The following is a 25,349-nucleotide window of genomic DNA, read 5'->3' as shown; positions in this document are numbered from 1 at the left end:
CTGAATTGTCCCATGCAATTCTCATAACAACTTCATGAAATAAGGCGTATTACTATCTTCATTTTTTTTTTTCTAAGGCAGAGTTTCACTCCTGTCGCCCAGGCTAGAGTGCAATGGTACAATCTTGGTTCGCTGCAACCTCCACCTCGCGGGTTCAAGTGATTCTTCTGCCTCAGCCTCCCTGGAATTACAGGCACTCACCACCAAGCCCGGCTAATTTTTTTTGTATTTTTAGTAGAGACGGGGCTTTGCCACATTGACCAGGCTGGTCTCGAACTCTGGATCTCACATGATCTGCCCCCCCTCGGCCTCTGAAAGTGCTGGGATTATATGTGTGAGCCACCGTGCCTCGCCATACTATCTTCATTTTCTTAAAGAGGAAATCAAAGCTTAGAAAGTTGAATGGGCCCGGTGCTGTGGCTCATATCTGTAATTCTAACACTATGGAAAGCCAAAATGGGAGGATCGCTTAAGCCCAGGAGTTTGAGACCAGCCTGCACAGCGTGATGAAACCCTATCTGAATAAAAAAGTTTAAAATGTAGCTAGATGTGGCGGCACAAGTCTGTAATCCCAGCTACTAAGGAAGCTGAGGATCACTTGAGCACAGGGAGGTCGAGGCTACAGTAAACTATGGTTGTGCTACTGTGTCCAGAATTAGGTGCGTTCTTGGTCTCACTGACTTCAAGAATTAAGCCGTGGACCCTTGCGGTGAGTGTTACAGTTCTTAAAGCGGCATGTCTGGAGTTGTTCATTCCTCCCTGTGGGTTCATGGTCTCACTGGCTTCAGGAATGAAGCTGCAGACCTTTCCGGTGAGTGTTATAGCTCATACAGGCAGTATAGATCCAAAGAGTGAACAGCAGCAGCAAGATTTATTGCAAAGACAAAAAGAACAAAGCTTCCACAGTGTGGAAAGGGATCGGAGAAGGTTACCACTGCTGGCTCGGGCAGCCTGCTTTTATTCTCTTATCTGGCCCTACCCATGTTCTGCTGATTGGTCCATTTTACAGAGAGCCCAGTGGTCTGTTTTGACAGGGTACTGATTGGTGCATTTACAATCCCTGAGCTAGACACAAAGGTTCTCCAGGGCCCCACTAGATTAGCTAAATAAAGAGTGTCGACACAAAGGTTCTCCAAGTCCCCACCAGAGTAGCTAGATACAGAGTGTGGATTGGTGCATTCACAAACCCTGAGCTAGACACAGGGTGCTGATTGGTGTGTTTACAAACCTTGAGCTAGATACAGAGTGCCGATTGGTGTATTTACAATCCCTTAGCTAGACATAAAGGTTCTCCAAGTCCCCACCAGAGTAGCTAGTTACAGAGTGTGGATTGGTGCATTCACAAACCCTGAGCTAGACACAGGGTGCTGATTGGTGTGTTTACAAACCTTGAGCTAGATATAGAGTGCTGATTGGTGTATTTAAAATCCCTTAGCTAGACATAAAGGTTCTCCAAGGCCCCACCAGACTCAGGAGCCCAGCTGGCTTCACCTAGTGGATCTTCACAGAGGCAGTAGGTGGAGCTGCCTGCCAGTGCCGTGCGCCCGCACTCCTCAGTCCTTGGGTGGTCGATGGGACTGGGCGCTGTGGAGCAGGGGGCGGCGCTCGTCGGGGAGGCTCTGGCTGCACAGGAGCCCACGGAGGGGCAGGGGGAGGTTCAGGCATGGCGGGCTGCAGGTCCCGAGCCCTGCCCGCCAGAAGGCAGCTAAGGCCTGGCGAGAAATTGAGCACAGCGGCTGCTGGCCCAACTGCTAAGCCCCTCACTGCCCTAGGGCCGGCGGGGTCCGCCGCTGCTCCGAGTGCGGGGCCCACGGAGCCCACAGCCACCTGGAACGCGCGCTGGCCCACAAGCAACGCGCGCAGCCCGGGTTCCCACCCACGCCTCTCCTTCCACACCTCCGCGCAAGCTGAGGGAGCCGGCTCTGGCCTTGGCCAGCCCAGAAAGAGGTCCCACAGTGCAGCGGCGGGGTGAAGGGCTCCTCAAGAGCCGCCAAAGTGGGAGCCCAGGCAGAGGAGGCGCAGAGAGCAAGTGAGGGCTGTGAGGGCTGCCAGTATGCTGTCACCTCTCACTACACTCCAGCCTGGGTGACAGAGTGAGACCCGGCGACAAAAAAGAGGGAGAGAAAATTGAAAGACTTTCCTAAAGTCACGAGTTATCAAATGCCAGTTAGCCCGGTCTAACATGACACTGAATCAACTATGTGCTTCCTGCTCAGGAGTCAGAACGATATTATCAAGTGTTAATGCTTCTAAATGCAAAGAGGGAGCAAGGTGTTTCTTCTCTTTAGTCTGTGACCAGCAGCTGCTCACTATAACCTCTCTTCCACTGCATGTCCAAGGATTACTGCATAGAGGAGGATTCCCATCTTCCCAGCCCCTAAATTTAAAAATAAATTAAATAGGCTGAGCGTGGTGGCTCAGGGCTGTAATCCCAAGCGGTGGCTCACTCCCACTTTGGGAGGCCGAGATGGGCGGATCACCTGAGGTCAGGAGTTTGAGACCAGCCTGGCCAACATGATATAACCCTGTCTGAAAAAAGTACAAAAACTAGCCAGGCATGGTGGCAGGCGCCTGTAATCCCAGCTACTCAGGAGGCTGAGGCATGAGAATCGCTTGAACCCAGGAGGCGGAGGTTGCAGTGAGCTGGGATCACGTGACTGCGCTCCAGCTCTGGCTACTGTCTCAAAATAAATAAATAAATAAATAATTAAAAGAATATAGAACCGCCCTCACACTTCCTGCCGGATGCAGTCAATTTGACAGTGTGCCTCATTCAGAGGGTGTTGCCTACATCCAGGGAGTGTCAATTTTTTTTTATTGAATGAATACCTGATTAAGTTAATGACGCTGAGCTGGGGGAGGAGGAGCAGTTTGGCAGCCCAATGCTGAAGGGCTTCTGGCAGCTCATTCAGTGTCCTTAATGTTCCATTGGCTTTGTGCTGGGCCGCATGTGAGCCCCAGGAGAGGCTGCTGTAATTACTCAGCTTTTTTATTGAAAACAGCTGCAGGTAGCGAGTCATCCCATTGTCCATCTTGCTAGTGACTGGAAACAACTCGGGGCCATCTTGGGCTCCACTACACTGCAGCCTCATTCTGAAGTCAGTGGAGGTAGAAAGTAGGCTTCCCACTTGCTGGGCTTTTCAAAATGAGCCATTCATCTTTTGAGGGTCAGAAGTCAGCCACCCATTCACCGAGTGTGAGTCATACCCCTAATTTTAAAACAAACATTTATTGCAGAGAGAATTCTTATCTTGGCCGATGTGTACAGCTGATCTCCTTGTCCTTCCTACGATTGATTTAGGCTGGTTTCAACAAAATTGTTGTCTTTGTAAATACACACCTCTTCCAGTAAATCCAGAGACTACCGAGGTGTTTCCTTGAGATTGAGCCTAAGACAATCTTTAATTAGTTTTGGATAATTGGATATGAATGTTTAGAGGCCTTCCCATATAGCAAGTGTCTTTAACATCTCACACAATATATTATACTTGTACTTCCTGACCCGAGAAGTAACAGGAGTTAATAATCTCACGTGAGAAAGTATGTTTGAAATGGAATCTCAAGGGGCAGATTCTTTGCAGATACCACAACATTATTTTATGTCCCTCCGTAATGAGTTCAGTTTTTTATCATCACATCCAAAATCTAGAAAATGATCCAGAAATCCTTTGCCTTTTAATAACCAGCTTGTAAGGAAGACAAACTGCAAGAGATGGACACAAGATAAGAACAGTAACCAACCAAGGACGGACAGCACCCTAGAAACCCAAGGGGTTGTGAACTTCAGTCTCTAAGCAGCATCGGAGTTTACGGTCTAATGACGAAAACACGTGAAAACAAGGATTGCAGCAGCCGGAAGTGGCTTTGCTGAGAGTTTAGGAATGATTGCCTAAGGAAGTAGCAGTTAGGGGACCCACTGTATTAGTCAGGGTTCTCTAGACAGACAGGACTAATAGGATAGATGTATATATGAAGGGGAGTTTATTAAGGAATATTGACTCACATGATCAAAAGGTCAAGTCCTACAATAGGCCACCTGCAAGCTGAGGAGCAAGGAAGCCAGTGGTTGACCAGTCTGAGTCCCAAGACCTCAAAAGTAGGGAAGCCGACAGTGCAGCCTTCAGCCTGTGGCCAAAGGCCCAAGAGCCCTGGCCAACCATTAGTGTAGGTCCAAGAGTCCAAAAGCTGAAGAACTTCAAGTCGGGTGTTCGAGGGCAGGAAGCATCCAGCACGAGAAAAAGATGAAGGCCAGAAGACTCAGCCAGTCTAGTCCTTCTACGTTCTTCTGCCTGCTTTCATTCTAGCCTCACTGGCAGCTGATTAGATTGTGCCCACCCAGATTGAGGGTGGGTCTTCCTCTCCAAGCCCATGACCCAAATGTTTATCTCCTTTGGCAACACCCTCACAGACACAACCAAGAATAATACTTTGCATCCTTCAATCCAATCAAGTTGACACTCAGTATTAACCATCATGCCCACCATGGTGAAGGCATGCGGGGGTGGCTGGTGTTAGACTAATTGGAGCCTTGGAGGATAGTCGAGGAAACGGTTCCTGAACGGTGTGTGGATGAGAATGTTGGAGCAGGGTGCTAAGGAGGCACAGAGGAGAGGCAGAGGGTATGGGGTTGGAGTGGGGAGAGCCTTAAGGAGGTGACATGGAAGGAGAGACCTGAAAGATGGGTGAGGCCAGTGCTTCTGGAAGTGTGGTTCCTGGACCAGCAGCATCAGCAGCATCTGGGAACTCCGGGTGAATGTGATGCGCACGCTCGAGTATAAGAACCACTGCATTAGAAAACAGGTGACAGTGCCTTGCGGAGGAGCGGTGGCTGGTGTGGAAAGTACTCTAACAGAGCAGAGGGAACACATACCCAGAGGCCTGCAGCAGGCATATTTGAGGCTTGATCAGGACACAGCCACCCACACCCACTGGTTACAAATTATCTGTGGTTGCTTTCAGCCTGCAGAGGTAGAGCTGAGTAATGGCCACAGAGGTGTATGGCCCGCAAAGCCACACGATTTACTAGGTGGCCGCGCATCGTCAAGGTTTTCCAGTCCCTGATTCAGAGGGTGGAACTGACATAACCTGATGACAGAATCAGGGGAGAAGAGGCATACAGGGATATCGGCCAGCTTTCAGTCTTCAGTGAGCAATGACATGATAGAGCAGTGACACTAAGATACTGCTGCCTCACTTTTTACAGCTCACAGTCCCCTTTGCGGATGTGAGAAAGGGCATACAGCTTTAAGGGCTTAAAGGATGCCCTGACGTCCAGTCCTGGAATACAGGCTAATGCCAGCAGGTATCTCAGAGATCCTTGTAGCTCCAAGCAGATGAGGGAGCGGGGCGCTGTGTGGTTTCAAAACAGAAATGCAGTTTGTTCACAAACTTTTAAGATCATGACATATTTATTTATTTATTTATTTGAGACAGAGTCTCGCTCTGTCACCCAGGCTGGAGTGCAGTGGTGCGATCTCAGCTCACTGCAAGCCTGCCTCCCAGGTTCACGCCATTCTCCTGTCTCAGCCTCTCGAGTAGCTGGGACTACACGTGCCCACCACCACGCCCGGCTAATTTTTTCTATTTTTTAGTAGAGACAGGGTTTCACCGTGTTAGCCAGGATGGTCTTGATCTCCTGACCTTGTGATCTGCGCGCCTCAGCCTCCCAAAGTGCTGGGATTACAGGCGTGAGCCAACGCGCCCAGCCATGACATACTTATTTTTAAAAATTTTTGACTGGTGACAAAATATGCATAATATGAAATTTACCATCTTAATCATTTTTACGTGCACGGTTAAGTGGCACATTCTTGTTCAACCATCACCACCATCTGTCTCCAGAATGTTTCCATCATACCAAACTGAAATTCTGGAACCGTTAAACAACTCCCATTGCCCCGTCCTCCCAGCTCCTGCTAACGCCTGTTCTACGCTCTCTCCAAATTTGACTATTCTAGATTCCTCATAGAAGGGGAATCATATGATATTGTTCTTTTGTGTCTGGCTTCTTTCACTTAGCATAATGTTTGAAGATTTATCAATGTCATAGCATGTAACAGAATGTCATTCCTTTGTAAGGAGAGGGGGATGAATAATAGCTCGTCATAAGGATATACCACATTTTTAAAGTTTATTCATCTGTTGATGATCATTGGGTTGTTGACACCTTTTGGCTCGTGTGCACAATGCTGCTATGAACACGGGTGTGGAATATCTGAGTCCCTGCTTTCAGTGCTTTGTGGTAGATATCCAGACGTGGAATTGCTGAGTCATGTGGTAATTCTGTATTTCACATTTTGAGGAACTGCCAAAATGTTTTCCATGCAGCTGCATCATTTTACGTTCCCACCAACGATGCACATAGGTTCTCGTTTCCCCATCTCCACCAACACTTGCTATTTTCCATTTTTGTTTTGTTTTTTTTTTTAAAAAAAAGAATATAATGTCCATCTTAATGAGTGTGAAGTGGTGTCTCATTGTGGACATAGCATATAATTTTAAGTATGATTAAAGGAGGTTAGAACACGACTTTTGTGTTGGCAAAGTGGGGAAAAGGATTGGCTGCTGTAATTAAAATCACTGAGACAGGCCGGGCTCAGTGGCTCACGCCTGTAATCCCAGCACGTTGGGAGGCCAAGGTAGGTGGATCGCTCAGGTCAGGAGTTTGAGACCAGCCTGGCCAACATGGTAAAACCCCGTCTCTACCAAAAATAAAAATAAAAATAACATAGCCAGGTGTGGTGGCAGGCACCTGTAATCCCAACTACTTGGGAGGCTGAGGCAGGAGAATCACTTGAACCTGGGAGGTGCAGTGAGCCGAGACTGCACCCATTGCACACCAGCCTGGGTGACAGAGCGAGACTCCGTCTCAAAAAAAAAAAAAAAAAAAAAATCACTGAGACATACTGCCAAGGACAGATGGAGTTAGGGGGCTTAAAGATCCTCTATACCAGCCGGGTGCGGTGGCTCACGCCTATAATCCCAGTACTTTGGGAGGCCGAGGCAGGCAGATCAAGAGGTCAGGAGATCAAGACCATCCTGGCTAACACGGTGAAACCCCATCTCTACTAAAAATACAAAAAAATTAGCCAGGCGTGGTGGTGGGTGCCTGTAGTCCCAGCCACTCGGGAGGCTGAGGCAGGAGAATGGTGTGAACCCGGGAGGTGGAGCTTGCAGTGAGCCGAGATCACGCCACTGCATTCCAGCCTGGGGGACAGAGCGAGACTCTGTCTCAAAAAAAAAAAAAAAAAAAAAATCCTCTATACCAGAGGTTCTCACCTCTGGCTGCAAATTAGAATCCCCTGGTGCATTTCCTAAAATGCCAGTGGTGGTCCCAACATCTAGGGATTCTTATTCAGTTGGTCTGGGGTAGATCTGGACATTATGTTTTTAAAAGCTCCCTGGGTGAGTCTGATGTGCCGTCAGCATTGATTTCTTATTCTGCAGGTGAGAGAGTATGGCCCTAGTACTAAGGCTGCAAGGGTTCTGGTCTCTCAGCCAGAGCTGCTGCCACTGATACACCATTATTCAGCATGACCACAAACACAGTGAAACCAGTAGTGTCCCAGGTACATGTGCATCCTCCTTTGTATTGTGGAGGAAATATGTCCCCAAAATCTGCAGAGCCAAGTGCGGGAGCCAACTCCTCCATTTGGTCTGTTGGGATGTTCAGTATTCTATGGTAGATTTCTAGTAAGTCAATTTCACTCAGTGGGCTGAGGATATTAAGACACCGGAAGTTAGCTGATGTGTTCCCCCATTGCTCCAACACTTTGAACTCTGTACCCCAAAAATTGATCCACTCAGTGCTTCTTACATGTATGTGCCATTGGGGAGATTTCCACAGGGAGGCTTTCTCTGAGCCTTTGGCCCTGGTGACATTACACTGAGTAATATATATCCCTGTTCCTTTCTGTACCACCCATCTGCCTGTTCCCTGGCCACAGTTTGGGGTATACCAATTTAGATTAACCTAATTATTGTTTCACAAGGCATTCTTATCACTGAACGCTGATGGATGTTACTTCAACGTTGTTATATTTTATTACTTGGCCTATTTAAGTGTATAACCATCACTAGCTATAAGAAGGTGACCAACTACAACGTTAGAGAGAGCAGTGCCTGCACCACGAATTGCAAGTTCAGGGGGTTTCCCAGACCACCCTCCGTTTTGATAATTCAGTAAAAGGACTCACAGAACTCACTGAAAGCTGTTCTACTCATACTTATTACAGGGAAAGGATACAAGTTAAACTTAGCCAGGGTAAGAGGCATATAGGAGAGGTCTAGAGGGGTCCAGACATGGGGCTTCTGTTGCCCTCTGCCCATGAAGTGATGAACAGCATTACCTCCTCCCAGCCATGATGTGAAGAATCACCAACCAGGGAAGCTCACGCGAACCTCAGCATCTAGAGTTTTTATTGGAGCTCAATTGCTACTGTCCTCATGACTGACCTCTAGTCCCTAGGCCCTCCTGGAGATCAGGCAAATATCTTTCATTATTAGTTCCTCTGAGGTTGGAACGTATACCTCATGGCCCAAAGCCCCCATCATAAATCACATTGTTACTCCATCCAGTGGCCAATAAACATACTTCTGTGAGGCAGGACATTCCAGAGGCCGAGAGATCACCTCCCCACAGGTGGGGGCAAAGGCCAGACCTGAGTTTGGGTGAGGTTAAATTCTTCATGGTCAGGCGCGGTGGCTCATACCTGTAATCCCAGCACTTTGGGAGGCCGAGGTGGGCAGACCGCGAAGTCAAGAGATCGAGACCATCCTGGCCAACATGGTGAAACCCTGTCTCTACTAAAAATACAAAAATTAGCTGGGCATGGTGGCATGCGCCTGTAGTCCCAGCTTCTTGGAAGGCTGAGGCAGGAGAATCGCTTGAACCCAGGAGGCAGAGGTTGCAGTGAGCCGAGATCACGCCACTGCACTACAGCATGGTGACAGAGTGAGACTCCGTCTCAAAAAAGAAAAAAAATTCTTCACTACACACTAATGACCCACTACACAACCCAAGAACTAGATCCCAAGTTTTCATATTAGGATTTTTTGTGTGTTGTTTCTGCCCTTTTTTAGCCATGTAATCTTAGGCAAGTGACTTACACTCTGAGCTTCAATGTCCTTGTCTTTGAAATGGGGTGATCATATGCTAGTTGTTATTTATATGTAAAGCATTGCTGTAGCCTGCACAAATTAAGCATCGTGACTTGTCCTGCCTGCTGTGCCTTAGAGAGCCTGGGTCCCGGGAGGTCTTGGGGTCTTTGCAGTTGAGAGCATTGAATTGTGCAGTGTCTCAGTGACTGAAACCACCATAGAAGGTAAGCCAGTGTGTGACACCTGGAGGAACAGCTGGTTAGTTTATGAATTATCTGGAGGCATTGGCTTTGCTTTCATTCAGCCACACCAAGGACAGTGAATAGTTTTAAGACTCTCCCAGAGTACCTCAGTTCCCACGAGACCTTTTTCCTGACTTGATGGAGAGTTTTATGTTCTCTGTTGTAGACTGGGGCTGTCTAATGTCCTGGAAACCCAGCCCCCTGGTGGCTGGCAGGATCCAGCCTAGGCCTCCTGGAGCAGTTGCTGGCGCTTTGCATCGTGTTGTGTGGTGAAGCTCGTGAGTGTGTGTGCGGGTAGACAGCTGGCAGCCTTCCCTGCGGGATGTGGAAGGAGGATTCTGCATTTCCCCACCATGCGTCTTGGGAATTACTCATCCAAAAAGTATTGTGGAAAAGCAGGCAGAGTGAAACACGGAGGCATTGCACTTAACCCTTCCCTGGAAATGCCATCCTTGAGTTTAGCGTCTGAGCTTTCTGTTTATTCTGCTTGTGTGCTGAATTGCCTTCCTTCTTGTTGGTGTGCATAGGGGTCTGCACATTGGGCACTTATAAATATTATCCCACCTATCAAGTGAAGAAAAAAATGAACTCTCAAACACCCATCACTTCCTCTTTTTCTATCACAGATGTGAGGAAAAAACAGATGTTTGAAAGAATTGATAGTTTGAAGGTGTTGTATTGATTACATCATGGCCAGGAGAGATGAGCAACAGATAAGTGTGGGTGATCACTGAGAATTCATGAGGAAATGTTTATTGAATTATAACTACGATGGCGACCATGTACTGAGTGTGTGTTATACTAGGCACTGTGCATGTTAATTCTTCCCCATTTTAAAGGCAGAGATTACAACTTTACACATTGTTGAAATGAAATTTTTGCCTCATTAAACTTGGGCACATGTATAATCGCAAGTAAAATTAAAATTATTATTTTGAGATGGAGTCTCGCTCTGTCGCCCAGGCTGGAGTGCAGTGGTGTGATCTCGGCTCACTGCAACCTCCGCCTCCTGGGTTCAAGCGATTCTCCTGCCTTAGCCTCCCTCGTAGCTGGGACTACAGGCGCCTGCCACCACGCCTGGCTCATTTTTTGTATTTTTAGTAGAGACAGGATTTCACTGTGTTATCCAGGATGGTCTCAATCTCCTGACCTCGCAATCCGCCCGCCTCAGCCTCCTAAAGTGCTGGGTTTGCAGGCATGAGCCACCACGCCCGGCCAAAATTATATTTTTAAAAATGGATAACATAGGTGGTTTGGGGTAAAGCCAAGGTTTGAACCTGTTCTCTACCTTACGGCGTAGCCCACTCTAACTACAATTCTGTGTGTCCTTAGTAGTAATAGCAGTGGAATATTATTGATCTATTATCATCATTGTTAGTAATAATAATATTAATATTTATCTTGATATTCTAAATAGGACAGTGGATGTGAATGCTTCATGCATCGGGTAGTGAGATCTATCACAGTGGTGGTAAGAAACATTCAAGTGAGAGTCAAAGTGACAGGTTCTCATCCTCCTGACCCCAGTTCTTACTGTGTTACCTTGGCCAATACTTTTCATCTTCTTGCATCAGTCCTTGAAATAAGATAATGAAGAGGGCTCACTTCCTCTCACTTTGAAACAAGTTAGTCTGGACTGGGATGAGAACCACTAACTCCAGGCAGCGTGGAAAGCATCTGTGTAACTGTTCCCAGCCTTCAACCAGAGTGGTGGATAAACAGAAACGTGGGTGCCCCCGGGTAGCTAACCTGGAATGCACTACGCTTTAAAGCAAAAAAGTATTTGCTTCTGTATTGAATCAGGAAAGGTCTTGACAGAAAGGCATTTCCAGCTTTTCTTAAAAACTCCAACTCAACCTCTGTCAGACAATTCATTTGGGACCAGCTTGGATCCAGATGGTTATTTTTCCATCTTGAGCCTTTCCAGGAATTCCGGCATGGGCAGGCCGCCAGAGACACTGGCTACACAGCCACTGCAGCGCGTTTTCCATGTGAGCCGGCTTCTAGGGATGGCCCAGCCAAGCTGTGGCCCCGCCCCTCCTCCTTCCTCATCCAGGCTGATCCTCCAGCTCTCACGGACATGTGCCATGAGCCACGCAGGGGGACCCCAGCCACATGGCCGATGTCCTGATGTTTCCAGGGGTGGCAGAGCTCACTAACTGCACCCCCAGAACTGTCATCTGCTCACTACGAATAGCAATGGCAGAAGCCAGGAATCTAAGAATTGATGAAGCCTGGCCCTCCATTATGTGGACAGGTAGTAGCAAATCACTCAGCCCCACTTAGGGATAAGGGAGACAGCAACTTAACCACGTGCCAAGCAGACAAGTTCAGCAGAATGGCAGCCAGTGCAGCTGTGTGTCTTGAGGAATTCTTTCCAGCCTCCCCTTCAAGGCCCTTAATCAAAGAACAACTCCCCACTGGACGCAGAGCTACCCAAGCCAGCGACCACCCGAATGAGACTATTATTTTGGGTGGATTTAAATTTTTTAATCATTGCTTCAAGTATAGTCGTATCCATTGCCCAAAAAGTCTATAGATGCATGGGGTCAAAAAACACTACTATTCGTGGTGCTGATAATATAAGTAGTGGGGCTGCTTTTCTCCTGCCTTTGCTTGACCCACTGCAGTCCCAGCTGGCAGTGGTAGTGGCAGATTCCCCTGACCCAACCACCCCCAGGAAGGTCTTGCCTCAAAGAAAAGGAAAATGTGGTGTGTGCTGCTGGCTGCCACGGACTCAGGGGAGCCTGTGCCAGGTTGCAGGCTTGAACTTGCTTCTTGTGACACTAGAGGGAGAGAGCTTGTTTCAAAAGCATGTTAGTGCTCTCAGTTCCTCACGTCCGACCTGTGCCAGAGGCTCCTTCTGCAGTCTCACCACTCCTATGGCCTGGATCACAATTGGGTGGGTGGTCTTGAACTTGGCTGCTGAGCCTGAGGTCCCCTGCTTGCTTGCCTGGGAAATACAAACATCCTGACCTCTCTTCCTTGGTCACTGATCAGTCTCTTCCTTACTGAACGTCTCACCAGCTGCAGTTCTTGATTAGTCAACATGGTGCAGAGGTCCCCTAGACATCTTTTCCCCTACTTATCCCTGTGCATTCTGTCCCTTTTCTACATGAAAAATAAATAGGCATATTTGCTATGAGGCTGCCATCGCCATAGCCAGGAGGTGAGTGTAACCCGCATCATGGTTGGGTAGACTAAGAAAGTGATTTCCAGTGCTAGTTCTACCTCTGACTGTATGGCCTTGGGAAAACCTCAGTGTCCTTATCTGGAAAATGGAGATAATAATACAAACCTCACAAATTTGTTATGAAGAGTAAATGAGATATTTAAGTAAGGTTCTTGGCATGTATAATAAGTAATCAATAAATGGAAGATATTTGGATTGGTTTCTTAGGGCTGCCATAATAAATTACCAAAACATATCGTGGCTTAAAACAACAGAAAAGTATTCTCTAACACTCCTGGAGGCTTGAAGTCTAAAATTAAGGTGCTGGTGGAGCCATGTTCCCTTCATAGGCTCTAGGGGATAATCTTTCCTTGCTTCTTGCTGCTTCTAGTAGCTTCGGGTGATCCTTGGCTTGGGACTGCGTCATTCCAGTCTCTCTGCCTCTGCCTCCACAGGGCCTTTGCCTCTGTACATCTCACATCTTTCTCTGCCTTTCTCTTATAAGGACATTTGTCTTTGAATTGAGGGCCCACCTGGATCATCCAGCATGATCTCATTTCCAAATCCATAATTACATCTGCAAAGACCCTTTTTCCAAATAAAGCCATTCCCAGGTTCTGAGTGGGCATAACTTTTAGGGATCTACCATTCAACCCACTGTCCTTCCTTATTCATGATAAAAATTAAGATACATAAAATTATTTATTTTTTATGTCCTTAGGCCCTCGTGTGGACTCCTTCTAGCTTGGATTACGAGCTTTCATTTCTTGCTTTTTCTCTTCTCACTCACTACACTTCCGTGAAGAGCAAGATCCCATGTCCCAGGGGTGCAGAGCCGAGAAGGGAAACCCGAGCGCGTTGGGGCGAGGCTCTCAGACAGCATCTTCTACAAAGTTGTGCCAGGTCCCAGCTCGCCTCTCTGGTGGTTTCTGGCCTGGATGTCTCTAGACAGGGCCTTCAGTCCCCTTCAGGAGCCTCCTCATTTTGGGCCAAGAGGCCTGCCCCATGAAGCTCCACGCTTAGATAGACATGGAAGAGAAGGTCAATAGTCAGTTTCCACTGAGGACACAGCAAGAAGAAATTGTGACAGTAGACTGGGATGACAAGCCAGCCACCTTGACACAGAGTGGAATCACAGTCTCAGAATGTTCCTAATGGCAAAAAAATGTAGAGTAAGTAGTTCGAACACCCAACCAGGGCAGGGACCCCTACCCCATATCCCTGAGTTTCTATCCTGACCCTTGGGGTGACCCAGAGATCCCTGACTCATGAGGCAGCCCAGTCCATTTTTAACCATTCTCATTGCTTCCTAATGCTGCAGCTTTTTCTGTTCTTCCCCAGGGCACTCATTCCCAGTTGTCTCAGCTGTTACTCATCTGCTTGCCTCCAGACCTCTTGCGCAACTGATCACTCCCCCTAGACATGCCCCATCCTTCCCACGTGCCTTTGCAGCAGGATTTCAACTGTGGCTTTACCCGTGCCATCTATGGTTGCAGTATTTATTCCCTTATTCTGAACATTGTTTTCTTTCTCTTTTCTTGAGACAGGGTCTTGCTTTATCACCTAGGCTGGAGTGCAGTGGAGCAATCATGGCTCACTGCAGCCTCAACCTCCTGGGCTCAAGCAATCCTCCTGCCTTAGCCTCCTGGGTAGCTAGGACCACAGATGCAAACCACCATGCCTAGCTAATTTTTTTTATTTTTTGTAGAGACAGGATCTCGATATGTTGTCCAGGCTGGCCTTGAGCTCCTGGGCTCCCAAAGTGCTGGGATTACAGGTGTGAGCCACTGAACCCAGCCTGAACATTATATTTTTTTTAATGAAGGTTATAATTACTATACTTTTTAAGAACCCTACCAAATGGTTGTTCATATTGAGTGTATAGTCAAACAAAAACTTTCTGGGCTCTTTCATTGAAACCATTATTAAACCAGATCTCTTCAACCCTGCTAGTAGGCTAATTGAGCTGTTGAAACCAAGGGCAGGCATTTACATTTATTCTCATTGATCTTAATTTTCCTGGTTTGGTACCATCACTTCCGGCTTCTTAAGATATATTTGAATCTTATTCGCAACATATATCCCTTCTAGCCTTCTGTTACTTCGAAATATGATAACCAAAACACTGTATTAGTATTGAATAGAACAGAACTAAAAATAGAGTTCTGGCATACCATTTGCTTCACACTGACATTGAACAATTGAGGTCCCCGTCATACATACTAGAAACGGAATGAGTGTTTGATGAATGAATGTGTGATCCACTTTGGGGGCATGCCTGTTCAGTCAACCATAAAGGCATCTAATTATAGCTATCATCCAATCCACCTTTCTCCATTCTAGATACTCCAAGCATGTCGGGTTTGGACCTGTTTTTAATGCTTGGCCAAAATGAAGTGCTTTCTGCCAGTGCACCACACAGGCCTTCCAGTTTAGTGATGTAATAAAGCTGGAAGGAGATTGGTGAGTCAGCACTTTGAGAATCCTTGACATGCCCAAGTAACCTCTGTCCTCACACCCAGGTATTCTGCCCTCTTCAGTGTTTGCATACGTAGTTTTTCCAGTCCTGGCACAAGCTCATCAGCCTGCTCTTCCTCTTCTTTAAAGCTGAAACCGTGCCCTGTTTGTCCATAGATATACAGGCCAGGCAGCCATGGGTTCATTCAAACTGAGAAGCACAGGATTGGGGGTGTAGGAAAAGCAACCCATTTTCTTGCCCTAGGTTTAAGATGTATTTTTAGGAGTTTATATATCAAATTCTAAGAGCATCTTCCATTCTGAGCAGTTGGCTGCTATTTACTGGACTTGCAGTCAGTGGGCATATATTCCCCACATCCCTAGCACAGAAGCATCTCATTTTCCTATCACTTCCCAAGCAGTCTGAATCCATGGTAATAGCAAAAAATTTCTCGAAATGAAATTATAGCAAAGAAAGAAGTGTGGAGCTTCCTTTGTTAAATTTCATTTTTCTTCCTGGGAATGATTGAGTTGTGTATAAAATTTATGATAATAGCCTTTTTAAAGTATATTTCTCTGCAGTTGTGTAAAGAACCAGAAGAAAAGCAGCATTTGTTATTTGCAGCCGTATTAGGTTTAGATGACCCCAGAGGAAGCAGTGGAGCATCACCTAAATATTAGATGTTTATCTCCGAGGCTCCATCAACTCTGTGTTTACGTACAACACCTAGTTTGGTTTCCCAGTGCCTGCTCCATTAGGAAGAGGCTAGAGATGTTTAATTTGCTTAAGAGTTTAGCAGTAGAAAATTTAATCGGATAGCTGCTAGGGTTTCTCAAACCTTACTGTGCATAGAATCATCTGGATATCTTGTTAAAATGCAGGACTGGGTGGGGCCTGAGAGTCTGCATTTCCAGCAAACTTGCAGAGGATGCTGATGTCACGGGTCGGAGGACCACACTTCGACTAGCAAAGCCTTATACCACTGGGCTAAATTTAGAAATTATGATAGAGAGATAGTTAATGTAGCTCTAAAGCGGCTTAAGATGAATGTATTCAGAACAGTGATTATCAGGCAAACCATGGGTAGCAAACTCTAAATACATTTGTCTTGATTCATCTATTAACTCTCCCTCCAATTTCCCTTTTCCAATAGGAATGTTTAAACAGTGCGATCTGCATATGTGGCTCTCTGGTAATTTGGCATTGATATAATTGTGCATGGCCCCATGTTTGGAAGAAATCTTTTTGTTGTGGCAGGTGCTTCCAGAGATAAACTCCTCGGGGGTCCCCTGGGAGGGCAATTCAGGACACAGAGGCCAGTTGTCTGCAACTAGAGACTCTAAGAGCAGAAATCCCACTCTCCTTTTTTCTTTTTTCTTCTTTCGTTTCTTTTTCTCTCTTCCTTATTTTCCAAATCTACTTTTCCACCTTCATAAGTTACTTCTTTGTTGTTTAGTCCCATGATCACCCGATAGACCAGGAATGTGGTGCCATCCTGGGGCGCCCTCTGGTGGTTCATTGAAAATACAGCAAGACCCAATCTCTACCCGTGGGTTTCCCCTTATCAGTACTGAAAGCTTACGGGGCCCAGAGAAGGGACACATACCTCAGCGTTAGAGAGCCCTGTCTGCTCCGTGCTGCACTGGTAAATAGCCCTAAATGTAGGAGGAGGATGGGTGGAAACTTTTATCGGTTTGGCCCCAGCTCGCTGCAACTGCTGTCTTAATCATTGTGTCCTTGATTTCTCATTGGCAATCTCTGGAAAAGATGCTGTTTATCAATGGATAAGTTTTCAGAAGAATAAATTTGGATTTGTGTGTTAAGGCCAATATGTCTTAGCAATCATTTCGCAGAAGACCAGTCCAGTGAGTCTTCAGGGCTGACTAAGCCGATGTCTCTCAAATAAACAGTATAATTAAACCTGAGCACTACTGAGAACCAAGTCAGCATTCTTTTTCAAATTTACGAAAGCTGGCTTCCTAAAGAAGTACCTTCAGAGGAGTTTTCTAGTTTTGTGTATTGTGCATTCAATTGTACAGGCAATGTTACATTTGCATTGCTAATAGACCCTTCCTGAATGTGTTTGACATTTTACTTGGCTTTGAAAGGACTTTTATGCCGCTGCTTTTTCTTCCCTAGTGCTGCCTTGGGCTAATTAACCTATTCCCTTACTGGCTGGGCCTACTATATGCAAATGTTCTCATTTTGCATTCTGACACATCACTCTTGCATAAATATCCCTCATGAAACCCTGTGGGGTTTTATTGGATCAGTGCTGCAGGAGGGCCAGCAGGGGGCGCATGGACTGGTTCTCTCTGAGTAGGTCTCACGCATGAGTTTTCCTTGCTCGTTGGTATGGAAATGTGGGAGCGTTTGGCATTCCCTTTCTTAAGAGTGAGTCTTGAAATTTAAAGATAAAAGTTCATTATTAGAACTTCTTTTTACAAGGGAAGGCTGTACAGAACACAGTTATTTGTCACTTACAAAAACCCTAGGTGGGCAGGGCGCAGTGGCTCACGCCTGTAATCCCAGCACTTTGGGAGGTAGAGGCTGGTGGATCATTTGAGGTCAGGAGTTCGAGACCAGCCTGGCCAACATGGTGAAACTCCGCCTCTACTAAAAATACAAAAATTAGCCAGGCATGGCGGCAGCCGCCTATAATCCCAGCTACTCAGGAGGCTGAGGCAGGAGAATCGCTTGAACCCGGGAGGCGGAGGTTGCAGTGAGCCGAGATTGGCACATTGCCCTCCAGCCTGGGCGACAGAGTGAGACTCCATCTCAAAAAAAAAACACCTGGGTTGCGAGAGTAAATAAGTGACATTACTCCTTCAACACTTCATTTCTTCAGCATAAGTGTTTTAGGGTTTTTTTAACCTTATTTTTCATTTCCGTCCCAGTCTTTAAGCGCCTCTCTTGTCATATGAGAAATTCTATTCTTACTGAAATGTCCTTTGATATCGAGACACCAAATTTCTAAACCTGCACCTTCCTAGATATCTGATCAAAATCATTAAGGATTGAGAACTTTCTGTTGTATCATTTGTCATTTCATTATGATGTTCATTGATGATGTTGGAGCAAAACCAATAAGGGCCATTAAATCATTGCCCCTTCCAAGCTGGCTGCAGTGGCTCATGCCTGTAATCCCAGCACCGGGAGGCCAAGTGGGTGGATCACTGAGGCCTGTTCAAGACCAGCCTGGCCAACATGGCAAAACCCCACCTCTACAAAAAGTACAAAAATTAGCCGGGTGTGGTGGCGTGCACCTGTAGTCCCAGCTACCTGGGAGGCTGAGGTGGGAGGATCACTTGAGCCCAGGAGGCACAGGTTGCAGCAAGCCGAGATCACGCCACTGCACTTCAGTCTGAGCAACGAAGCAAGACCTTTTCAAAAAAAAAAAAAAAAAAAGGAAGGAAGGAAGGAAAAAAATCATTGCCCCCTCTAAAAAATAGTTACAAAGTAGGGGGCAGAGTAGAGAAAGGGGGTTATGTTTCAGTAGGGATTTCAGTGTTGCTCCAACATGGACAAGGATTGAATGCTGAAGGCCGCTACTTTATTGTGTTTGTTTTAAAATCGGATCATTGGCTACACACAGTGGCTCATGCCTGGAATCCTAGCACTTTGGGAGGCCAAGGAAGGAGGATTTCTTGAGGCCAGGATTTCAAGACCAGCCTGGTTAACATAGCAAGACCCCATCTCTCCAAAGAAAGAAAGAAAGAAAGAAAGAAAATCAGATCATTGAAAAGAGGGTCTGGATGTGAGATACCAAAACCCAAGGGTGTGGAATTCCCAAAGCCCAATCCCACAGCTCTCAGAATCACAGCATGTTGCACTGTGCATACCTACAGCTGCTACCTGTGGAAGCAATCACATCCGCTGCTTGCTAGCCTGGGTCATGTCAGTTCCACTGATATTTGGCCTCTTGTCTGTTGGGCATTGGTTTGCCCACACAGCAGCAGTAACTCAGACTTCAGTGGTTAGTAAGAGACTGAGATACTTGACCATAAGAACTGGCTCCAGGGTCACCATTTGTATGTCCAGGTTTGAACACACTGATCTGATTTGTCTGAAAGAGCTGTCGTCTCTAGTGTTAATGGCGAGTTGTTACTTTCCAATGAGAAAGGGGACGGTGTGAAGGGGAACTTCAATGACAACTTGAAAAGGAAGAGAGAGATGGACAAACCAAGCATGTAACCCACTGAGAAAACATTCAGTGCACTAGCCCTATTTTTGTATGGTATTTGGGTTTTTTAACCATAATCAAATTCGGTTTTTAACAGTCTCACTCCGTCATCATATGAGTGGCTGTACTGGGAATTCTTTTGAAACTTGCAGAGAACAGGATTATTTCTGGCGGCCTCTGCTGAGTTGGCGTGTGTGTGTGTGTTTGTGTGTGTGTGTATTAGGGAGAGGAAATCGTAGGTCCAGTGTGGACCCAGAGCTAAGGGGAATCTTGGAGAGTAGTGGCTCTGGCAGATGAGGATTCAGAAATCGAGTGCAAGGACTGTTCTGGACTTTCACTGCTAACCTGCTTTTTCTCAGTGCCTGGCTCTGAGGGCAGGGTCCAGCTGGTGTCATGCTCTCCAAGGGCTTCATTTTATGTTCCAGCCAGGCAAAGGAGAGGTGAGAAATGGAACCAACATTTCTGAAAAGGAAATTTAAGAACTGCATCATCTGCCCTTGAAGAAGAAAAGGAGAAAAAAAAACAGGAGAGAGGGTATTGAGAACATCTTAGGGGAGTTGTTAACTCCATTAAAAAATATATGTGTTACAGTGTTCACTTGCCCAGTGTCTTCATAATCTTCCTTTATAATGTGCAGCTGCCACGGCTAGTGTTTTTGTTTTTGTTGTTGTTGTTTTGTTTCGTTTTTGGAGACAGAGTGTCGCTCTGTTGCCCAGGCTGGAGTACAATGGTGCAATCTCGGCTCACTGCAACCTCTGCCTCCTGGGTTCAAGCAATTCTCCTGCCTCAGCCTCTCAAGTAGCTGGGACTACAGCCGTGTGCCAGCTAATGTTACACCAGGCTAAATTTGTTTTTTATTTTTTATTTTTGGTAGAGACGGGGTTTCACCATGTTAGCCAGGATGGTCTTAATCTCCTGACCTCGTGATCTGCCTGCCTCGGCCTCCCAAAGTGTTGGCTAGTGTTTTCTCTGCTTCAGTGCTTGGGGTATGATTGGGTTATGGGAGTTCACACCGAGTCCAGGGCCTAGTCTTAATCTTGCCAAAGATGTTCTTTCCCCGGTGCTCATGTTCTGATGTCCTTTCCCTCCTTCCCTTTCTCCTCCCTTTCCTTTTCCCTTTGTCACTGCCCTCTTCCCTTTCCCAGCATCCAGAGCTGCTGTTGGCGGATTGTACCCACGGGGAGATGATTCCTCATGAAGAGCCTGGATCCCCTACAGAAATCAAATGTGACTTTCCGTTTATCAGACTAAAATCAGAGCCATCCAGACAGTGAAACAGTCACCGTGGAGGGGGGACGGCGAAAAATGAAATCCAACCAAGAGCGGAGCAACGAATGCCTGCCTCCCAAGAAGCGCGAGATCCCCGCCACCAGCCGGTCCTCCGAGGAGAAGGCCCCTACCCTGCCCAGCGACAACCACCGGGTGGAGGGCACAGCATGGCTCCCGGGCAACCCTGGTGGCCGGGGCCACGGGGGCGGGAGGCATGGGCCGGCAGGGACCTCGGTGGAGCTTGGTTTACAACAGGGAATAGGTTTACACAAAGCATTGTCCACAGGGCTGGACTACTCCCCGCCCAGCGCTCCCAGGTCTGTCCCCGTGGCCACCACGCTGCCTGCCGCGTACGCCACCCCGCAGCCAGGGACCCCGGTGTCCCCCGTGCAGTACGCTCACCTGCCGCACACCTTCCAGTTCATTGGGTCCTCCCAATACAGTGGAACCTATGCCAGCTTCATCCCATCACAGCTGATCCCCCCAACCGCCAACCCCGTCACCAGTGCAGTGGCCTCGGCCGCAGGGGCCACCACTCCATCCCAGCGCTCCCAGCTGGAGGCCTATTCCACTCTGCTGGCCAACATGGGCAGTCTGAGCCAGACGCCGGGACACAAGGCTGAGCAGCAGCAGCAGCAGCAGCAGCAGCAGCAGCAGCAGCATCAGCATCAGCAGCAGCAGCAGCAGCAGCAGCAGCAGCAGCAGCAGCAGCACCTCAGCAGGGCTCCGGGGCTCATCACCCCGGGGTCCCCCCCACCAGCCCAGCAGAACCAGTACGTCCACATTTCCAGTTCTCCGCAGAACACCGGCCGCACCGCCTCTCCTCCGGCCATCCCCGTCCACCTCCACCCCCACCAGACGATGATCCCACACACGCTCACCCTGGGGCCCCCCTCCCAGGTCGTCATGCAATACGCCGACTCCGGCAGCCACTTTGTCCCTCGGGAGGCCACCAAGAAAGCTGAGAGCAGCCGGCTGCAGCAGGCCATCCAGGCCAAGGAGGTCCTGAACGGTGAGATGGAGAAGAGCCGGCGGTACGGGGCCCCGTCCTCAGCCGACCTGGGCCTGGGCAAGGCAGGCGGCAAGTCGGTTCCTCACCCGTACGAGTCCAGGCACGTGGTGGTCCACCCGAGCCCCTCAGACTACAGCAGTCGTGATCCTTCGGGGGTCCGGGCCTCTGTGATGGTCCTGCCCAACAGCAACACGCCCGCAGCTGACCTGGAGGTGCAACAGGCCACTCATCGTGAAGCCTCCCCTTCTACCCTCAACGACAAAAGTGGCCTGCATTTAGGGAAGCCTGGCCACCGGTCCTACGCGCTCTCACCCCACACGGTCATTCAGACCACACACAGTGCTTCAGAGCCACTCCCGGTGGGACTGCCAGCCACGGCCTTCTACGCAGGGACTCAACCCCCTGTCATCGGCTACCTGAGCGGCCAGCAGCAAGCAATCACCTACGCCGGCAGCCTGCCCCAGCACCTGGTGATCCCCGGCACACAGCCCCTGCTCATCCCGGTCGGCAGCACTGACATGGAAGCGTCGGGGGCAGCCCCGGCCATAGTCACGTCATCCCCCCAGTTTGCTGCAGTGCCTCACACGTTCGTCACCACCGCCCTTCCCAAGAGCGAGAACTTCAACCCTGAGGCCCTGGTCACCCAGGCCGCCTACCCAGCCATGGTGCAGGCCCAGATCCACCTGCCTGTGGTGCAGTCCGTGGCCTCCCCGGCGGCGGCTCCCCCTACGCTGCCTCCCTACTTCATGAAAGGCTCCATCATCCAGTTGGCCAACGGGGAGCTAAAGAAGGTGGAAGACTTAAAAACAGAAGATTTCATCCAGAGTGCAGAGATAAGCAACGACCTGAAGATCGACTCCAGCACCGTAGAGAGGATTGAAGACAGCCATAGCCCGGGCGTGGCCGTGATACAGTTCGCCGTCGGGGAGCACCGAGCCCAGGTAACGTTAGCCAGGGTGGCACAGGGATGGGACACCACACCGTGATGCCATCATCATCTCCTGGCAAGACGAATTGCTTCTATGAGGCAGGATTAAGGGTTCTCGGGTACACCTAGACCTTAGACTCGGCCTTTCCCAACTGCGTTCTCTAGAAAAAATAAGCCCCATTTCCCCGTGATCTCTGCTGTGTGTAATGAATTAACCTCCATGCATGGAGAGTGGGGCTAGTTATGGAGTCCTTGAGACAATCCAGAAACTCACCACTCTAGTTATTTTTTGAATTCTGTGATTAAGATGAGGAACCCTGATTAGGAAACGCTGCTGGACTTCAGGTCCTTCTAGTGGTCATTCGGCACTTTTTCTTACCAGGAAAAGACAGAGGATGCCGTTGGAGTGAGGGGATTAGATGCTAAAGCAATCATATCCCATTGCAACATCCATGTTTTAAAATATGTCTTATTAGCTGGGTACAGTGGTATATGCCTTCGGTCCCAGCTACTCCAGAGACTGAGGCAGGAGGATCACTTGAGCCCAGGAGTTCGAGGCTGTAGTGAGCTATGGCTGAACCTGTGACTATCACTGCACTCAAGCCTGGGCAACATAGCAAGGCCCGGTCTCCAACATATATATAATGTCTTATTATTTAGGTATGATAAGGCCAACAGATAGATCAGCAGACAACTCTCTTTGACGAGATAATTTTTATACTCTCTGATCCCAAGAGGAAAGGGCACTCTACACCAAGAGGTGTAGAACACCGTAAAGTGGGGGGCACCTGGGGAAGCCCCAGGTGGGTCAGGAGGTGGAGGGAGTGAGGGGAAATGTGGCAAACAACAGCCTTTATTGTGGTTTCATGGGAGGCAGGGTAAACGGGTTTAGGATTGGTTAGAGTGGATAATTCCAGTGTGCTCTGGGGTGTAGGGGCTGTCCTTAGTTGTCTGGCTGCTGGTGCTGGGGTGATCAATACAGGTGGAAGGGCTGGGCACAGTGGCTCACACCTGTAATCCCAGCACTTTGGGAGGCTGAGGCGGGTGGATCACCAGAGGTCAGGAGTTCGAGACCGGCCTGGCCAACATGGTGAAACCCTGTCTCTACTAAAAATACAAAAATTAGCCGGGCATGGTGGTGTGTGCCTGTAATCCCAGCTACTCCAGAGGCTGAGGTAGGAGAATTGCATGAACCCGGGAGGTGGGGATTGCAGTGAGCCGAGATCAGGCCACTGCACTCCAGCCTTGGACACACAGCAAGACTCTGTCTCAGACAAAAAAAAAAAAACAGATGGAAGGCAGCCCTAAGTGTGATGGACCAATATAGGAGGCTGCTGGGGAGTGGGCTCTGGACTGGTTAGTTTGCATATGAAAGTCAGGCTCCTAGGAATTAGCTCTGGACTGGTTGGTTTGCATATAAAAGTCAGGCCTCTAGGAATTAGCTAATCCTAGGAGAGACTATACCTCTGGGATCCACAAGACACTAAAATATCAAAGCATCAGAAAATAAAAGCGTGGTTAATACAATCTGAGAAGTCAGGGCTGTCCCAGGTGACCTGCTGGGCTTGGGGTAAAGTCAGCTGTAGCCAAGATGAGTCACTGGAAGTATGGTTAACGCTCTTAATTTCCACAGGCTCCTTCAATCTACCCTTTTCCAGGTTCTTAGATCGATTACATGCATTTATTCCACAGCCCATTTCTTTCACTGCCCAAGTTGCTGGGAGTCCAGCAGGTTCAGCCTGCAGCTGAGAGCTTTCCTGGCTATCGAGCGTACTTTCTACAAGTGTTTCCATCTAGGATTTGAAAACATTCAAATGGGACAGAGCCTCCTTCCAGCTTGAGTTGAAAATAGTCATGAAATAGCTGCTATTTGGGACATTCAGATAAAATAAAACAAGAAAAAAAAGATAAACTAATTAATGGTTTGAATTGTTTTGGGCATTTTTTTTTTTCATTTTTGAGACAGTGTTTCTTGTCTCCTAGGCTGGAATGCAGTGGTGCAATCATAGCTCACTGTGGCCTTGACCTCCTAGGCTCCAGCGATCCTCCCACCCCAACCTCCCTAGTAGCTAGGACCACAGGTGCATACCACCATGCCCAGCTAATTTAAAAATAAAAAACATTTTAGTAGAGATGGGGTCTTGCTGTGTTGCCTAGGCTGGTCTCAAACTCCTGGGCTCCAAGCAGTCCTTCCACCTCGGCCTCCCAAAGCCCTGAGATTACAGACACGAGTCCCTATGTCTGGCTTTTTTGAGCATTTCTTAAATGCCCAAGTGAGGAAAGGACCAAATCAGTTTTCCAGAACCACTCGTGAATGACTGGATATGGGGGCTTGCACAAAGCCGGGGCCCTGCATTGCCGAGAGCTTTTAGCCCTGAATACTTTTCTTTGTATTATGAGATGTCACTGTAGGTTTACAGTCTTTGGAAGGGCCCAAGAAAGATTTCCCCAAAGATCTTATTTAAAAAAAAAAGAAAATCAGGATTTTTAAAATAAATGGCATAATAATACAGCTCACTACCCCTCTGTAGTGGCTGTTCACTTCCTGCATGAATTAGGGGTGGGTACTAGGAGAAAGAAAATGAACTACCTTGAGCAAAGTTGACTCTTCACAGACCCCAGGTGACACATGGAAAATAAACATGAGTGAAGAGTCATTGCTTTTCATGGTACTTAGAATCCTTAACACATTTTTGTGAACAGAGGCAGGTGTGAAAAGAGGTTTTGTTTAGAAATGCGACTGGTTCCTTGCCGGCCAGCATCAACTTCAGCTTGAGAATGAAGGCAGCCACTTCAGCTGTGGGCCACACTTCCCAGGCCTGGCAGCCTCTGCAGAAACCAGACTCTTCTATTTTTTTTTTTTTTTTTTTTTTTTTTTTTTGGAGACAGAGTCTTGCTCTGTCACCCAGGCTGGAGTGCAGAGTGCAGTGGGGTGATCTTGGCTCACTGCAACATCTGCCTCTTGGTTCAAGTGATTCTTCTGCCT

General features: G+C 47.9%; 2 protein-coding genes across 4 annotated transcripts in view, besides 5 other annotated features; both read left to right on the top strand.

Moving 5' to 3' along the window:
- The window catches only part of ATXN1 (ataxin 1), a 462,349-nt gene that overhangs the window by 412,691 nt on the left and 24,309 nt on the right, over nt 1-25,349 (top strand). For all 3 annotated transcript variants that reach the window (NM_001128164.2, NM_001357857.2, NM_000332.4), the window contains one exon: nt 20,300-22,376. In NM_001128164.2, the coding sequence (NP_001121636.1) occupies nt 20,460-22,376 (1,917 nt within the window). In that variant the 5' untranslated portion in view covers nt 20,300-20,459. The remainder of the gene's footprint in view (nt 1-20,299; nt 22,377-25,349) is intronic.
- Nucleotides 16,378-16,672: an enhancer, noted in NCBI's record as "tiled region #3581; HepG2 Activating DNase matched - State 12:CtcfO". NCBI's record gives its function as "activates a minimal TATA promoter and a strong SV40 promoter by Sharpr-MPRA in HepG2 cells {active_cell/tissue: HepG2}" and the evidence as "EXISTENCE:reporter gene assay evidence [ECO:0000049][PMID:27701403]".
- Nucleotides 16,378-16,672: a silencer, noted in NCBI's record as "tiled region #3581; K562 Repressive DNase unmatched - State 4:PromP". NCBI's record gives its function as "represses a minimal TATA promoter and a strong SV40 promoter by Sharpr-MPRA in K562 cells {active_cell/tissue: K562}" and the evidence as "EXISTENCE:reporter gene assay evidence [ECO:0000049][PMID:27701403]".
- LOC127903862 (uncharacterized) lies at nt 20,339-20,428 on the top strand. The gene has a single exon (NM_001414722.1). It carries the CDS (start codon nt 20,339-20,341, stop codon nt 20,426-20,428), a length of 90 nt encoding a protein of 29 aa, NP_001401651.1.
- Nucleotides 20,835-21,395: an enhancer, noted in NCBI's record as "H3K27ac-H3K4me1 hESC enhancer chr6:16327606-16328166 (GRCh37/hg19 assembly coordinates)". NCBI's record gives its function as "activates a minimal SCP1, AML or CMV promoter by ChIP-STARR-seq in primed H9 embryonic stem cells {active_cell/tissue: H9 hESC(primed)}" and the evidence as "EXISTENCE:reporter gene assay evidence [ECO:0000049][PMID:30033119]".
- Nucleotides 21,046-21,136: a tandem repeat, named in NCBI's record as "ataxin 1 repeat instability region".
- Nucleotides 21,048-21,134: a repeat instability region, noted in NCBI's record as "repeat instability region; expansion of the (CAG)n trinucleotide repeat (CTG relative to the plus strand of the reference genome) is associated with spinocerebellar ataxia type 1". NCBI's record gives the evidence for it as "EXISTENCE:polymerase chain reaction evidence [ECO:0000082][PMID:8358429]" and "EXISTENCE:Southern hybridization evidence [ECO:0000078][PMID:8358429]".

Source organism: Homo sapiens, chromosome 6 (genome assembly GCF_000001405.40).
Source record: "Homo sapiens chromosome 6, GRCh38.p14 Primary Assembly".
NCBI lineage: Eukaryota > Metazoa > Chordata > Mammalia > Primates > Hominidae > Homo > Homo sapiens.
Note: the sequence above shows the minus strand (reverse complement) of the source record. Positions and strands in the feature narration are given on the sequence as shown.

Excerpts from the sequence above, each read along its gene's own strand:
- LOC127903862 (NM_001414722.1), top strand. The coding sequence starts at position 20,339 with ATGATTCCTCATGAAGAGCCTGGATCCCCTACAGAAATCAAATGTGAC.